Here is a 17,618-nt window from a genome sequence, read left to right as displayed (position 1 = left end):
GGAGACGGAGGTTGCAGTGAGCCAAGATTGTGCCGTTGCACTCCACTCGGCGACAGAGCAAGACCTTGTCTCAGAAAAAAAAAAAAAAAGGACAAAAGGACAGATGGCAAATAATCACACAAAAAGATGCTTGATGTTACTAGTGATTTGTGAAATGCAAATGAAAATTACAGTGAGACGTAACTAAATACTTAATAAAATAGCTATAATTGAAAAAAAAACTGCCAAGTGTTGCTGACACTATGGAGGATTTAGAACTCTCATACACCAGTGGTGCAGAAGTAATATGGTACAACCACTCTGCAAGACAGTTTAGCAATTTTGTAAAACGTTAAACATACAACTACTGTATTTATTAAAATAAAAGAAAGCATATATCCATCCCAGTAATTGTACACAAATGTTCATAGCACTTTATTTTCTGTATTAGCCCCAAACTGGAAACAATCCACTTATTTATCAGCAGATGAATGTATAAACACACTATTAGAATATCCAAACAATGTAAATATTACTCACTAATAAAAATGAATAAACTATTGATACAGCAATATGGATGGATCTCAAAATAATTCTACTGAGGACAAGAAGCCAGACAAAAAAGAAAGCATGCAATAATTAGGATTACAAAAGGGCAGAAGTAAACTTTTGGGAGAGATGGATATGTTCATGATTTTTATTGTGGCTGCTGTTTTACAAGTGTATACCTATGTTAATATGTATCCAAGTGGATACTAAATATGTGCAGCTTATTGAGTAATTATTGAGCAATTACGCCTTAATACATCTGCTAAAAAAATCTGGCAGACTTTTACCCATAATATACAAAGAACTCTCACACCTCAATAAGAAACAACACAAAATTTGGCACAATATTTGAATAGAAATTTCACCAAAGAAGATATTTTGAATCATCCATAACCATACTATAATGATTAAAATTACAAAAACTGATACAACTTAAACTCTCATGCATTGTTGGTGGAAATGGAAAATGGCGCATCTACTCTGGAAAAGAGTTTTGAACTTGCTTATAAAGATAAATCCACACTTAATCATACATAACCATGCAACCCAGCAATTCCACTCCTAGGTGTTTCCCTAAGAGAAATGATAACATATGTCCACAAAAAGCCTTGTCCATGAATGTTTATAGTGGCATTGTTCATGGTCACCAAAAACTCAAAACATCTCAAATGTTCATTAACTTGCAAATGGATAAACAAATTGTGTTCTCTATATACAATGAAATATTATTTAGCAACAAAAAGGAAGGAACTACTGAACCACAACAGAAGTTGTAGGAACTACAGCTCAGATATGAGTATCAAAAACATGCTATGGTAAAGAAGCCAAAAATGAAAAGACTACATAATATATTTATATGAAATTCTAGAAAAAGCAAAACTATAGTGCAGAAAGCACAGTAGTTGCCTGAGGCCATGTTTGGGGAAGATGGTAGATTGCAAAAGGGCACAGGGAACTTGTGGGGGTGATGGAAATTTTCTGTATTACGATTGTGGTAGTTCTTACACATCTATACACATTTGCCCATACCTGGCAAACTTTACACATAAAATAGGTGAAGTTTTATTGTTTATATAACTTATACTTCAATATAGATATTAAAAAATTAGAAATCAATTTTGTCTGACTCCTTCCCTTTAATGACTGCCATGCAGGATTACTCTCTAGGGAGGAATAGTGTCTCATTTAGCCCAGTCATAGAGCCACCCAAAATGGGAAAGCATTGAAGAAAACAAATTGCTGTAAGAGTCTCCTGTCCCTGCCTTGGATCATTTCATGCTAATCCAAGGCAGTTTACGCTAAAAAATGTGAAATTCATCAGGAATTCGATTAGGTTTTAATTTGTCTTATTTTACTACAAATGGGCCTTATGTTTAGATGGTGATGGCACTTGGAAAGTATATTTATGTTTGTTTCATCTTGAAAGTGTGCTTTTACATATATATTTATGAATGTATATTGAAGCTTTATTATTAGGATATGTCTTTCCCTTGGTTAAATGAGATGTGAAAATGCAACATGCTTAATTTCATTCTATTTTTTAAATTTCTAAACATTGAAATTGTTTTTTGAAATGACGCTTTAAAATATTTAACTTATGAAATAAATTTGTCTCTGAAAATCTAGATGTTATGTATCTATTGTCTCTAGACAGCAATACATTTCTAATATGGATATATATGTCTGTCTTTTTTCAGGCCTGGTTGCAGTATGCTTGAAATCTGGGATGTGGAAGACCCTTCCAATGCAGCTAACCCTCCCTTATGTAGCGTCCTGCTCGAAGACGCCAGGCCTTACTTCACCACAGTATTTCAGAATAGTGTGTACAGAGTATTAAAGGTTAACTGAGAAGGATACTACCCATTTTACTATGGCACAATGCCGTGTGTCAAAAACAATCACCCTTTGGCTTATTCACATTAATAAAAATCACAAGCTTTAATAACAGACACTTAAAAATAAGATAAAAATGGATTGGAAATTTTTCTGATTACTAAAAGGTAAATTACTTTTCTGTTCATTGAATGTCAGCCTTATTAAGCTTGTCATATAAGTTATTAAATCATTCATGTCATACTGCATAAACAAATGTTCATTTCAGAATTTTAAAGAGAAATGTATATAAAAGAACAATGAATTTTAATAAATCAGGGGTATGTAAGTCCTTTTTCATCCAACTAGGTGAATTGCTTCAGATTTTCTCTAGTACCAGAGGGTACCTCCTCAAACTCTTTGAACCACTTAAGGCAGAAGAATGCAAGCTCTGAAATGACATCCTTAAAATGCTGATACTGGTCACAGCCTCTTTACCTCTGTGAGGAAATTGTAACAGTGTGTCTTTTAAGGTGTTTTTATTTTACCAGCCCTTAAGAAAGATCTCTAATACCTTTTAATACTTTTTTTTAATAATTTCAAGTTGAAGTGTTTTTAAAAACACTTTGTTTTGTAATGTTTTGAATCTCTTGAGATGTGTTTACCCCACTAGATACATATTTGCCACTGGTTAGTTCTCCATCTAAGCTCAAGAGGTTATTCATCTCTCTTTAGATTCCAGTGGCTTTTCTTTTAACATCCAGGTAAAACAGAAACTGCTATGGTATACAACCAAGTTTTGGGGTTAAACATAATCAGAAAAGAAAATCCAGTTAAATTTATGAAGTGAGATTTTCAGATCCTAGATCTTGAATAAAGGAAAGGTCTTTTCATCTTGATGGCCCCAAAGCTTGTTGGTCATGGTCTTTATTTCTGGCCACTATCTTCTTAAATAATATATTTTTAAGCCCTCATTTATTTTTGGTTTTGGGTGAGGAAAGTCATGTTTTCTAAGTCCTCTCCCCTAATAAAACCTACCCAACAATAGTGCTTTGAAAAGTGGTAGTTATCTTGAAGATACTCTTGCCAAATGCAAAGATAAACATTCTTTTTGTCTGCTTTATAAATATGAAATATGCCAGATCTATAGTATTTTAATGTGCATCTACTTTAAATGAGTCATCTTGGGGTTTTTATAATTCCCTTATGTTCTTGCCCCTCTACACTTGAAATAACAAAATGCCTTAATTTTATGGATTAGTTCTCTTATAGTAGACAGGCAGCTATATGCAGCAAAACCAATAAAGTTATTTTTCAACTTTCATAGTTGTAAAATATCTTATAACAGAATACAAAACAGCTAAGAAAACATGCCACATTTTATTTTAGCATTTTCAAATAATTTGTTTTTGGTGTAAGCACAGGATAAAAAAGGAGAGCGTCAAAGAAAAGAGACATAACACCTAACATTCATAAAAATTAACAAAGTATATTTTGGATGATGTTTTTACAGGAAATATTTTAAATAAGTTGGTAGAACTTTTAAAATGGTACTGTATTAGCTAATAAAATATTCAGTACAAATATATGTTTGGATTTATGCATTAAAAAACTAATAAAATTATTTCCAACTTTTGTATTTGTAAATTATTTTGGTACAGGAGACAAAGCATCTAAGAAAGCATGCCACACATTTTACTTATTTTAGCATTTTCAAATAATCTGTTTAAGTGATGTGTGGGGCAAAAAAGGAAAAGAGACATAACACCTAACATTCATAAAATTAAAGTAACACATTTCAGATGATGTTACAGTAGCAAAGACTTGTAACTAACCCAAATACCCATCAATGATAGACTGGATAAAGAAAATGTGTCACACACACACCATGGAATACTATGCAGCCATAAAAAAGGATGCGTTCATGTCCTTTGCAGGGACGTGGATGAAGCTGGAAGCCATCGTTCTCAGCAAACTAACACAAGAACAGAAAACCAAACACCGTATGTTCTCACTCATAAGTGGGAGTTGAACAATGAGAACACGTGGACACAGAGAGGGGAACATCACGCACCAGGGCCTGTTGGTGGGGGGTGGGGGTGGGGGGCAAGGGGAGGGAGAGCATTAGGACAAATACCTAATGCATGCAGGACTTAAACCCTAAATGACGGGTCGATAGGTGCAGCAAACCACCATGGCACATGTATACCTATGTAACAAACGTGCATGTTCTGCACATGTATCCCAGAACTTCAAGTAAAATAAATTTTAAAAAGTCAGTAGAACTCAACAAAAAATGGATGAGCTGTACTAATAAAATGTTCCATACACATACGATGTTTTCATATATATGTTATTTTCATGTACTATCTGTGTTAAGTAACTGTAAAGCCCTTGAAGATCCTGTTTTCTGTCTTTTCTCATCCTTCACAATGCATACATTTTGAAATTGAAATTGTTCTCATATAAAGGGAGAAATCATAGGTTGCTGGGCTTACTAGCCGTGTTTACACGGGCAGTGCTCTTTCTTAGCCATTTAAAAATGATTCTGTATAGTCTTACACAGAAGGCAATATACTATGATGGAAATAGTGTGAGCTGTGCAATGAGATGTATCTAAGTTTGAATACTGCTTCTTCCATTAGTTAGGTACCTACCATGTATTCAAAAGATATTCATTAAACACTTACTGTATGTCAGGCACCCCATGGTGGGGGCAGCTGTTTCCTGCTGTCAGTTCTGCAAAGGTCAGGTATTGTTGCTGGCAGGTTTGCTTTGAGTCCTCTCATAGTTACTATCAACTGACCAATATCCTTAAGTTTTTTTTTTTTCAGACAGTTTCAAACTCACAAAAGTGGAGATCAGATTCAGATTTGATTTTTGACAAGAGCACTTCAGAGGCGGTACTTCTGATTGCAACAGGTCAGGAGGCATATAATGGCCAGCTGTTTCTCTTTTTGTGTTGTTAAGGTTGATCAAGTGGGTTCAGGTATTATCAGCCTGGTCCATCTAGCATAACTGTCCAATCAGCCTTTTTCCTAGTAGTATTGGTTGGCATTAGACTTTTTTTTTTGAGAGAGAGTCTCGCTCTTGTCACCCAGGCTGGAGTGCAATGTCGCAATCTCGGCTCACTGCAACCTCTGTCTCCTGGGTTCAAGCGATTCTCCTGCCTGAGCCTCCTGAGTAGCTGGGATTACAGGTGCCCACCACCACGTTCAGCTAATTTTGTATTTTCAGTAGAGATGGGGTTTCACCACATTGGCCAGGCTGGTCTTGAACTCCTGACCTCAGGTGATCCGCCCACCTTGGCCTCCCAAAATGCTGGGATTACAGGCGTGAGCCACACTGCACCCGGACTCAGTTGGCATTAGAGAATGGCATGGGATAGGATAGGGAATAAAATTAATTCAAGGACAGAAGATTTATGGGAACAACTTACTCCTGTTCATTCCATTTTTTTCCCTGTGACAGCTTTCCTCACCTCTTTGGTCTTAGACCTAGTGGACCTGCCTTTGACTCCCATGGTGTCAGGGTGAACAAGCCATCTTAGAAGTTTATAAGTGCAAACCATAAGCAATTGAGTATGCATATGTTTGTTGGACTTACAACAAAAATGCTCTACATGTAGCAGGTGTTCAGAGAAGGTTAGCTGTTATTGTCATACGCTATTTTAAATCCTATGTTTGTTTGTTTGTTTATTTATTTTTTGAGACAGAGTTTCACCGTTGTTGCCCAGGCTGGAGTGCAATGGCGTGATCTCGGCTCGCCACAACCTCTGCCTTCCGGGTTCAAGGGGTTCTCCTGCCTCAGCCTCCTCAGTAGCTGGGATTACAGGCATGCGCCACCACGCCCAGCTAATTTTATATATATATATACACATATATATACACACACATGTATATATGCATTTATATATACACATGTATATATGTGTATATGTATATATACATGTATACATGTATATACATATGTAGATACATGTATATATGTACATACATATGTAGATACATGTATCTACATATGTATATACGTGTATATATGTATGTATATACATGTATACATATGTATACACGTGTATATATGTATGTATATACATGTATACATATATACACGTGTATATATGTATATACATATGTATACACGTGTATATATGTATATACATATGTATACACGTGTATATATGTATATACATATGTATACACGTGTATATATGTATATACATATGTATACATGTATGCATATCTATATACGTGTATACACGTGTATACATGTGTATATACGTGTATATATGTATATATGTGTACATGCACATGTATATATATGTACATACATATGTATATATACATGTATATATATGTGTATACGTATATATATGTATATATGTGTATACGTGTATATATATACGTGTATATATATACGTATATATATATACATGTATATAGTATTTAGTAGAGACGGAGTTTCTCCATGTTGGTCAGGCTGGTCTTCAACTCCCAACCTCAGGCGATTCGCCTGCCCCTGCCTCCTAAAGTGTTGGGATTACAGGCATGAGCCACTGCGCCTGGCCAAAATCCTGTTTTTAAACTTCATTTGGTAAAAAAATAGTTTCTCATGTTATAACTAATGCTTTGTAAATTGTTTTATGCTATAGATATCCAAAAATGGGTATGTGGATATCCATTTTGAGGATGTGCCATAATTTATTTAACCTCTCCTTATTTTTAGGTATTTAAATAATCTAAAGTTACACTATAGTGTGTATTTGTATAGTTCAGCTTTCTAACCTAGAATTCTCATAGTGTTTAGCAGCCAGGCTCATCTTCTGTGTACAGGGCATTCTGTCCATATGACAGTACTTTTCTTAGGTAAAATTCACCTAATCTTCTGAAGTGCAATCCAATGGTAGGAATTTGTCAATAAAAGTTTTCAAGCAGCTGAAAATGATGCTGTTCAATCCAAGCACTAAAGTCACTGTATTGAACTTATAAGAAAGTGCACTGGTGCTTTTTCAGAGACTATTTATTCTTCTCTTATGTGTAACTAATCCAGTTTTTCAACTGATTTCCCAACTCTTAAAAAATAAGGGATGGGAAACTGGAAGGCAATTTGAGGAAAGATATTAGATGGAGGCACAGTGGAAAGTGAAAGGAGTAACTGACAGGTTGACAGTGATAAAGGATAAGGAAAAATTATAAATTCAGATGGAAGAACACAAAGGCACAAGACTCTAAGCGATATGATGTGCTTGCATAGAGATTTACACAGTCAGTCTCCCCAGTCATCGAATTACAGCCTGGAACAGCAACAAATATTCTTAACCATGACTTTGACATTTTAAAAAATGTTTAATATTTTTCTGTTTAAAATAAGGGCACTCCTGGTGCGATGCTCATGGCTGTAATCTCAGCACTTTGGAAGGATGAGGTGGGAAGACTGCTTGAGCCCAAGAGCTCGAGAGCAGCCTGGGCAACAAAGTGAGACTCTGTCTCTACAAAAAGCTTTTGAAAATTGGCTGGACACAGTGGCACGAACCTGTAGTCTCAGCTACTTGGGAGGCTGAGGAGGGAGGATCGCTTGAGCCTGGGACATTGAGGCTGCAGTGAGCCATGATTGCAACCCTCACTCCAGCCTGGGTGATAAAGCAATACTCTGTCTCAAAAAACAAAACAAAAAACAAAACAACAACAAACCAAGGGCAGTCTGTAAAGCTATAGTGTATAGTGGTAAAGAGCCTAGGCTCTGGATCCCAGTCTACTGAGCAATGTCACTTATTTGAGACTGACCTTAGGCATGTACTTAAAGTCTCTAATATTTATTCTTACCTATGAATTTAAAAAAGTAACATTACCTACCTCATGCGGTTGTGCAAAGATTAAATTCGGTAATGCATTTGAAGCACTTAGCAATGAGCCTGGATAATAAGCACTCAGTAAATTATCACTATTAAAATCAATAGTTGTAAAACAAAATTCTCCTAAAAAAGTTTTATTAGAAATTATTTTAAAATGATAAAAGGTATCATTAGAAAAATTAAGGTAATGAAATTATTTTTTTCTTGATGATATTGTGTTGGTGAGGCATTAGAGTGATAAATACTAGTTGATTAATTTAATTTAATTAATCTTTTTCTTTTTGAGACAGAGTCTCGCTCTGTCACCCAGGCTGGAGTACAGTGCTGCCATCTCGGCACACTGCAACCTCCACCTCCCTGGTTCAAGCAATTCTCCTGCCTCAGCCTCCTGAGTAGCTGGGACTACAGGTGCATGCCACCACGCTAGGCTAATTTTTGTATTAGTAGAGATGGGATTTCACCATGTTGGCCAAGCTAATCTTGAACTCCTGACCTCAAATGATCCACTCACCTCGACCTCCCAAAGTGCTGGGATTACAGGTGTGAGCTGCTGCACCTGGCCAGTTGATTTATTTAAATATCAGCATCACAATTAAAGTCAGGCATCCTAATTAAAATTTTCTGACTCTTAAACATAAAGCTTTATGTTAATTTAACAAGCAAATTTAACAAATTTAACAATAGCTTCTTCTTGTTCAGGCTAGAAAAACAAAACATTTGTTGGCCTTTATTCTTATTGATTTATATGATATGCAATACTAGAGGAAATAATTATTCAATTTGATCCAGCAACCCCATATTAATACTACATTCTTCCAGCCAGGAGATCAGGAGAGGAGTTGGTCCTAGCTCTGTCATTAGCTTTCTGTGAAATCCTGAGCAGGTCATTTGGGGTCTTGATCACTGTTTCCTTACCTGTTAAATGAGAACATAACTCAAATGCTCTTGCTGGCCTGAGAGCACAAACAAGGCCACATAATTCTGATGGCTCTTATCAGCCCTTGCTCCACCCAGATTTCTCACCCTGCAGTCCCTGCAGCCTATTACTTCCGATATCCCTGGGTAGTGGAGTGGGGAGGCATCTCAAATGTTCTCTTCAAGTCTGATCTGGTTTCCCACAATTTCTTATTGCCAAGGTACCTTAGTACCACTTCTTTTGCCAATGCCCTTCCAGAGAATGATGGCTTCAAGGCCATTCATTGTTGATCTTGAGTCCTCAGAGTATCCCAAACTGCACTGAGCCCATGGTACAGTGAGGATCAGGCATGATCTCCAGCCAGTTCTGCTCGACATTTGTTAACCCAACACCAAACTTGCTCTCCTTACTCTCAGATACTGATGAAGTCATTCACAAAACTAGTTCTTTCAGCATCTATCCCCCAACAAAGGCTCAAAAACAGCTCTTTCAGCTACTGGCAGTTGATTGCCATCTCGTTTCCCTCCTCTGTCTGGCTATTACCTCACCCCAGAACTTTAATCTTGCTCCCTGACCCTCCCACCCAAAGCAAAAACGAGATCCTTTCCTAGAAACCCATGGAAACATAGAATGATTAAAAAAGAATTGATTTCTTAAAAAAAAAAAATGAGTAGGCCGTGCATGGTGGCTCACACCTGTAATCCCAGCACTTTTGGAGGCCGAGGCAGGCAGATCATGAGGTAAGGAGATCGAGACCATCCTGGCTAGCATGGTGAAACCCCATCTCTACTACCAACACAAAAAATTAGCCAGGTGTGGTGGTGGGTGCCTGTGGTCCCAGTTGCTTGGGAGGCTGAGGCAGGAGAATGGCGTGAACCTGGGAGGCGGAGGTTGCAGTGAGCCGAGATCGTGCCACTGCACTCCAGCCTGGGCGACAGAGCGAGACTCCATCTCAAAAAAAAAAAAAGAGTAATGAGGTTCTATATGTAGTCAATGAGGTTCTTTATGTAGTCAATATCAATTTATAAAGAAATTACAGCTGTCCCTCTATATTCATGGGAGACTGGTTCCAGGACCCCCTGCAGATACCAAAATCCACAAATGCTCAAGCCTCTTATATAAAGTGGTGTAGTATTTGCAAATAACCCACACACATCCTCCTGTATACTTTAAATAATCTCTAGATTACTTATATAATGCCGACCCATCTCCTCATTCATGTGGATTCAACATAGTGCTCAGTGTGTGGCAAATTCAAATTTTGCCTTTTGGAACTTTGTGAAGTTTTTCCCCCCTAAATATTTTTGATCCATGGTTGGTTGAATCTACTGAAGTGGAACCTATGGATACAGAGAGCCAACTGTATTTCTATTAATGTTTCCAGTTATTTCTATGATATTTAAGAGAACAAAAAATATTTTTATCATCTTTAAGCCTGTTATGAGCCCCTCATGTCACATGGTACACAGCAATCCTGTAATCAAATTCATCCCAGGCCACACTCAGCATCAATGATTAACATGCTGCCCCTGATGCTACTTCATTTCCTGAAGGCTGCCAGAAAGAGGTGGTACAAACAAGAGTTTCCTGACATAACTCCATGTGCATAGGAATGTAAATTTAAAGCTAATCACTGAGAAATAAAAATTTTGAAATTGTTCAATTTTTAAAAATTCACTCTGTTCCTAGCACCACCAGCCAAATAATCCTACCTTAATTCTACCCTAATCCTGTTTTACAGCCTGGACTCAGCTAGACCCTGCTACTAAAACATTAAACCAAAGGATATTGAGGATTCCTTTCCGCTCTGTATCATACGGTTATATACTAAAGGCACATAGTATTGTGAGGGTGATAAATGCAAACAAAATTAAAGAGAACAAAAGACAACAGTACTGAAGGAGCACAGAAAAGAAGAATGACATCAGGGAATGATTATTAGTCTTAGCTTTGGAACTGGAACTTGAAGAATGAGTAAGATTGGCTGGGTGGAGTTGAGATGATACGGTTTGGCTGTGTCCACACCTGAATCTCACCTTGAATTGTAATAATCCCCACGTGTCAAGGTTGGGGCCAGGTGGATATAATTGAATCACGGGGGTGGTTTCCCCTATACTGTTCTCATGGTAGTGAGTAAGTCTCGCGAGATCTGGTGGTTTTATAAACAGGAGTTCCGCCGCACACGCCCTTTTGCCTGCCGTCACGTGAGTCGTGCTTTTGCTCCTCCTTTGCCTTCTGCCATGATTGTGCGGCCTCCCAGGCAGGTAAGACTGTGAGTCAATTAAACGTCTTTCCTTTATAAATTACCCAGTCTTGGGTATATGTTTATTAGCAGTGTGAGAACAAACTAACACATGAGGTAAGGGCAACCCCCAGGAGAGAAAACCATAATGTTCTTTTGGGGAAGAACTCTCTCTCCTTTGTTTTTTGTGAGTCTTTCATAATTTTTCTTTTAGCAGTTTGTTTCCATCAATTACTTTAAATTTAATGTCATCTTCTCACGAACAAATTAGTATTACAAAGCAATTTATTGTCTGATCACTGAGCCAGTTATAACTAAATGCTACTGATTAACATGGATATTTGGTCCTTGCTTAATGTTATTTCAAAAATTAAATTTTCAACTTGTTGAACTGCCTATTCTCAGATCTTTTCATAGGAAATAATCTAGTGCCTTAAGCTGCTTGGACTATACAGGAGCCCATTAAAGTTGATTAAATTTTAATTTGTTTCTAATGAATCCTATTTATATTTATTCTCCCATCATATTGTTACTTATCAAATTAACTCTATTTCACTTGTCACTTTTTTTTATAGAAAAATGGAGTTTATTTTCTGTCCATTTTAAAGCAAAACGTCTAGATTTGTTTTCTGTAGCATGAGATTCTAAGGTGAATTCCTTAGTCTATAAAGCAAGGTTTCTATTTCTTCTTCTTCTTCTTTTTTTTTTTTTTTTTTTTTTTTTTTGAGACAGAGTCTTGCTCTGTCACCCTGGCTGGAGTGCAGTGGTGTGATCACGGCTCACTGCAGCCTTGACCTCCTGGGCTCTGGTGATCCTCTCACCTCAGCCTCCTGAATAGGTGGAACTACAGGCACGTGCCACAAAGCCCGGCTAATTTTTCTATTTTTTGTAGAGACAGGGTTTTGTCATGTTTCCTGGGCTGGTCTTGAACTCCTGGGCTCAAGTGATCAGTCAGTCTTGGCCTCCCAAAGTGCTAGGATTATAGGCGTGAGCCACTATGCCCTGCCCGTGGTTTCTACTTCTAAAACCACCAGAGAGACTGTTACAACATCATTTTTATCTATAAAACCAAGTTTTGGTTAGGACATATAGAACACTGAATGGAAAACTACATTGGGATTAACAAAACCTAGTCCTATATTAATTTTGCATCAGATTTGTATCATCCTGGATAAGCACATGGACCTCTGAATTGTGGTCTCTTCATTTCTATCATCATTCCTGTTATGTTTGTGGGAATGGTGGGAGGGTTAAAGCATTGTCAAAAGCCTTAGTTTATTCTTTGAATCTCTGTGGTGCTTTTGAAAACTATTGTTCAATCAACTTAATCTGGGATGAGGTAATATATACAGTAGTTCAATACTAGAAATCATTGCCTGGTGACCAGAGCCAGTGATTTTAGGTACATGAGTTTAAGTATAATTTCAAATTTAAACTTTAATGTAACCAAGTAGGTATCTCTTTGTGAAATCTCCCCTGCTATCCTAGAAATTTAATTTCTCCTTTCTAATTCTGTACCTTGTATAACTAATTTGGCACATATCTTGATATACTGTAATTTTTAGGGTCCGCTATTGTACTGCACATTCCTTAAGGAAAAGCGCTGGACTTCATTTATTCTCAAGGGCAGCAGGGTGGAGAATGAGTAAGACACAGGCTCAAAAGCCAACCTGCTGGCTTTAAATCCAGGTTACACCACTGGCTGTCTCTGTGATCTTAATATCTCCCTCCCTTAGTTTTCTCAGTTTTAAAATGAAGACATTAATAAAAGCATCTTGCTAGTTGGGATGAAATAAATGAATATATGTCACTGGGATCAATTCAAGTTTTATGGACCTAAAGTTTAAATAATTTTGTAGTACTCCTTAAGAGAAAGAAAACAAAATTTTGTGTGGAAATATATTTAAAGTGATGAAAGAACAAGCTACACACACAAAAAAAATAAAATACAGAATGTAGCAAGCTATCTTAAGAAAACTAAGAGCCTAATATACCTCTATAATTTTTCCTTCTTCTTTGGCTATATGTTCTTTGATTGTATTTTCATATAAAAAGTTAAATATTGAGATAACAGAAAGATTTTAGTATTCAGCATAGCTGATTGAAGTTTGTTTTTTATTAATCATTTAGAAACGTTTATCTCTGCTTTACAGCTCATCAGTAGTGTCATACACATTTTTAGGATTATTGTCAAATTTGGGAAAGCCTCTATCAAGATATTATTTCTGGCCTGCAACTTCATGTTACAATGCCTGGTAAGTTTTCATGATGAGTGGTTGGAGTGTTCCTGGAGGTCAGTCCAACACTGAAGGACTAAAAATAGGTTGCTTCTACAAGACCGTGACTGCCAAACACAAATATTCTCTAGAACAGAAACTAAATATATGATGAATTTAATTTCCCCTTAACTGGATCTGCAAAATTCTTGTAACTTCCATGCCACTCAACATGACATTTTGCAGAATTTTAGGATGTATCTGTTTAGGTGAACACATTGCTAAAACCTCTTCCAAAGTTTTGAAAGGGGCTGTGGAAATGAGGGGACCTGAACATTAGCTTCATTAGCTTCATGGTAATCTGTCTGCTGCTTACTAAGAACTGTGTAACAAGTGACTATCCCAGCACAGTTAGCACAGCACACAAGCAGGGGCACACCAAAGACTCAAACCGCTAGAAAGACATCTTTCTTCCTTCATCCTAGCTGAGAGTTAATTCCTCAGTGTGGAAGAAATTAAGACTGCTACCAGCCTTCCTTGAATTCCCTCCAAACCCATGTGAGTAAACTTCTGCATCATTTTCTCTGCTTAGCACTCTATTTTCTCACCAAACTGATGCCCTGTCAGGAGTTCCAGTTCATTTGGCTAGAGTGAGAACATCTGTTTAAGTTATCTGTTGTTGCCTAACAAATGTCAAAGAAAAAAATTATTCGTGACACTCGGTGAAGCACAGTAAGGCAGACATTTTTCAGAACATCTTGGTAGGTGAAGGGATGGCACAGTGGGGTCCTGCAGTAGGGGAGAGAGATTGTGCTCAACCTCAAACAACAAAAAGGTGGACATTTCTATCTAGAAGAAGCAGGGTGGGCTCAGTGGGTGGAAAATTACTAACTGGAAACATCAGGGGTAAGGGAAGATTCTGGCTGAACTGACCTAACAGGATTCTTGCTAAAGGCAGGCAGTGCTGATCAGACATCACCTGGGTGCCGGTGGAGGGGGCGGAAAATGATCAGGTATCGAAGGTGATCAGATACTGAGGATGGGGAATTCTGGCTAAATGGACTTGGCAGGATTCTTGTTAAAATTGCATTCTATAAGGAAGGATACTGGAGTCCAAGAAGAGACTGATCTAACTTTGATTCTTTGTCACAAAGTATCGAAAAACAGCTGCTTAAAACAACAATTTTATTGTTCATAATTCTGTGGGTTAGGAATTAGGTGGGGTTCACTGGGTATATCTCATCTCCCTTCCATGTGGTATCAGCTGGGGTCACACATGCTGTTGCATTCAGCTGAGAGCTCAGCTGGGGCTGCGACATTCAAGACGGCTTCACTCACATGGCACCTAGGCTAAGTGTGACTGGAATGGCTGAGGACTGGCTGGATCTCTTTCTCTCTGTCTCCTGGAAATCCATTATTTAACAGCACGACTCTTGCTTCCATGCTGGCTGGATCCTAACACAATGAAAATGGAAGCTGCCAGGTCTCTAAAAGGACAGACCCAAACTGGCACTGAGTATTGCTGCTACATTTTCTTGGCCAAAACAAGTCACAAGTGAGCCCAGATTCAAAGGGAAGAAAGATAGGTTCTACCTCTTGATGGGAAAGGCAACATGCATGTTGGTGGCCGTCTTTACAGACAATTTTCTACAATGTGTCCTCTGGCCACAACAACTCACGTCTCTCCGATAGGCAAAAGATACCCAACCTCCTTTCCTTCTCTCTACCTGCTAAAGCCTCATCTAGTTACCCATTAGACTTAAACTCCAGTCTGCATCCAGTCCTGATAGCTCTCTGTAGAGAATAAGAGACTTTGTAAAGAGAGAGACCATGCAGAGTGGAAACAATGGATCCAGGTTGACAGCCAGCACCAAAGCCCCAGATGGATGAGCAAGACCATCTTGGACCCTCCAGCCCTAGTTGAGGGTCTCAGACAGCACCATGTGGAGTGGAGAAGAACCACCTCAACTGATCCCTGCTGGAATTTCTAACCCACAGAGTCATAAGTAATAAAATTATTATTTTAGGCCACTAAATTTTTGGATATTATGCAGCAATAGCTAGCTGAAACAATATTCGACTTAGACTTTATCTTCATTTATTTCTTGCTTTTATTACCGTAGGATTTGACTTGGATTCACCTTTTGTCATTAAGCCTGACATTGAGTTTCCATTCCTCCACCCCGTGTCCCTTAAGCTTGTTTGCCCCAGATTCCTCATTCTCTGTATCAGTGTCTGTGGCCAAAATCATCAAATGTTTCATGCCTCCCTTCCATACAACAAAGATCATTGGATTTGTGATTAGGATCTCATAAGTTTCCATTTCCATGACAGATATGTGGATAAGAGCTAGGTTGTGAGATTGAGGAGTGGTGAAAAAAACCCAAAAATAGCCTGTGTAAACTTTACAAAGTTTGAGAATAAAAGGAGAGTAGGGGATGAGGAGATAGGTTAAGGGGGGTGGGGATGGGGCTAAAAGAGGAAAAAAGAAATAAATAGAAATTATATAAATAAAAATAGATGTGTATATAGATATTTACACATCTATATACCTGTACCTGTCTATACTTGTACCTGTCTCTGTATCTACATCTATATCTTTATTCCAGGCCAAGATGTGACTATTTGAAGACCTGAAGCAGTTCTGAAAAGATTTAGGAAATATAAATCCAAGGTGTCTAAAATCTCACAAAATCACCAAGGATGATGATTGAGAAAGCATAGAGAGCAAAGTTATGGGTCAGAAATACAAACTTCTTGTAGAAAATGACTGAAACAAATCCTTCATACAGTATCATATTTCATGACAAAATTAGATTAAGAAAATCCCATCACATGCAGAGGAAAATAATTGTGACTTGCCAGCTTCTCTATCTTCAAATAAGCTTATGCTGAAGATAGAAAATCAAGGAAGCAGACAAAATGTTGAAAATTCCATAAGAGACTGCATGACAAAGCTGGCATATGAGGCCATTATGATCTTATATTTACTAATATTACTGTTCTAACAAGTTCCTCAGTGTGATATTCTGAAACATTACCATGTGGCAGAAATCAAAAGTAAATGTCTCAAAATTCACTACATACCCTGAAAGAGAATTTAAAGAGACAGTTATATATTCAGTACCTTCAAATCCATGGAACTAACTGTTACACTGAATTGGTTCTAGGATACGGTACAACAATGAATTTTGTGAGGATTAAAAATGCCTTCATGGGATGGAAGATTATCATATCTCTACTTCCAATGCAAATGAGAGACTAGTTCCTAAATCACATACTATAGTATCACTATTTTGCATATACTCATGAAATAGTACTTCCAGAGACAGAAAATCAAGTTGCCCTAAAAATGATGTCACAAAGGGCACACTCGTATAAAAATGGCAGCAATAGCCTGACAGCCTTACCACAAAAGGTTACCTCAGGCAAGAAAATGATATATGTGATCATTTTACCAAATGTTTTGTCATGACATAATGAGTTGCCATTTTTCTGTTTCCTGTAACACTTTCCTTGCCCCCTCCCCTACCTACATGGTTTTTGTTCCATCAACACCTCACTTCTAGGTACCAGTAATTGAGTCAGTTTTTGCTGTGGTAACGCTGCAGAAAAACAAGCTAAATGTATTTATTTTCACAATACATGTGGCTTCAGGCTGCAGATGACTGAGGGCTGGCTCTATGTGTCTTCTCTTCTTAGTTTGGGACTTGGTCGAAAGAGCCACCTCTCACTGCACATGCTGTTCTATCATGGCAGAAGATGGGAACAGCAAGCTGTGATGAATCAAGCAATTGTGCTTAAAGCTTTTGTGCAGAATCAGCACATTGCTACTTCTGCTCATATCCTGTTGGCCAACCCCCAAAATCAAGGAGGTGAGGAGAAATACTCCTTTCATAATGACCACCTTACACGACAAAGGGTGGGGGTGGGATATTCTATTACAAAGGGGGGCTGGGCGTGGTGGCTCACACCTGTAATCCCAGCACATTGGGAGGCCGAGGCAGGTGGATCACTTGAGGTCAGGAGTTCAAAACCAGCCTGGTCAACATG

General features: G+C 37.8%; 1 protein-coding gene and 1 long non-coding RNA gene across 14 annotated transcripts in view, besides 3 other annotated features; both read left to right on the top strand.

The window, feature by feature from the left end:
* Positions 1 to 3,975, top strand: part of DPY19L2 (dpy-19 like 2) — a 109,893-nt gene extending 105,918 nt beyond the window's left edge. For all 13 annotated transcript variants that reach the window (XM_047428722.1, XM_011538215.3, XM_024448947.2 and 10 more), the window contains one exon: positions 2,226 to 3,975. In XM_047428722.1, coding sequence (XP_047284678.1) covers positions 2,226 to 2,376 — 151 coding nt within the window. In that variant the 3' untranslated portion in view covers positions 2,377 to 3,975. The remainder of the gene's footprint in view (positions 1 to 2,225) is intronic.
* Positions 11,108 to 11,462: a mobile genetic element, noted in NCBI's record as "direction; reverse".
* Positions 11,191 to 11,240: a non allelic homologous recombination region, noted in NCBI's record as "sub-region BP9 recombines with sub-region BP9' within the DPY19L2 LCR2 recombination region 2". NCBI's record gives the evidence for it as "EXISTENCE:nucleotide sequencing assay evidence [ECO:0000219][PMID:22653751]".
* Positions 11,294 to 11,307: a non allelic homologous recombination region, noted in NCBI's record as "sub-region BP8 recombines with sub-region BP8' within the DPY19L2 LCR2 recombination region 2". NCBI's record gives the evidence for it as "EXISTENCE:nucleotide sequencing assay evidence [ECO:0000219][PMID:22653751]".
* Positions 11,335 to 17,413, top strand: LOC105369797 (uncharacterized). Its single transcript, XR_945017.2, has 4 exons — positions 11,335 to 11,371; positions 13,503 to 13,604; positions 14,051 to 14,123; positions 17,268 to 17,413. It is a non-coding gene; the product is annotated as an uncharacterized LOC105369797 (long non-coding RNA).
* Positions 17,414 to 17,618: the final 205 nt, after the last annotated feature.

This window comes from Homo sapiens, chromosome 12 (genome assembly GCF_000001405.40).
Source record: "Homo sapiens chromosome 12, GRCh38.p14 Primary Assembly".
Lineage (NCBI taxonomy): Eukaryota > Metazoa > Chordata > Mammalia > Primates > Hominidae > Homo > Homo sapiens.
Note: the sequence above shows the minus strand (reverse complement) of the source record. Positions and strands in the feature narration are given on the sequence as shown.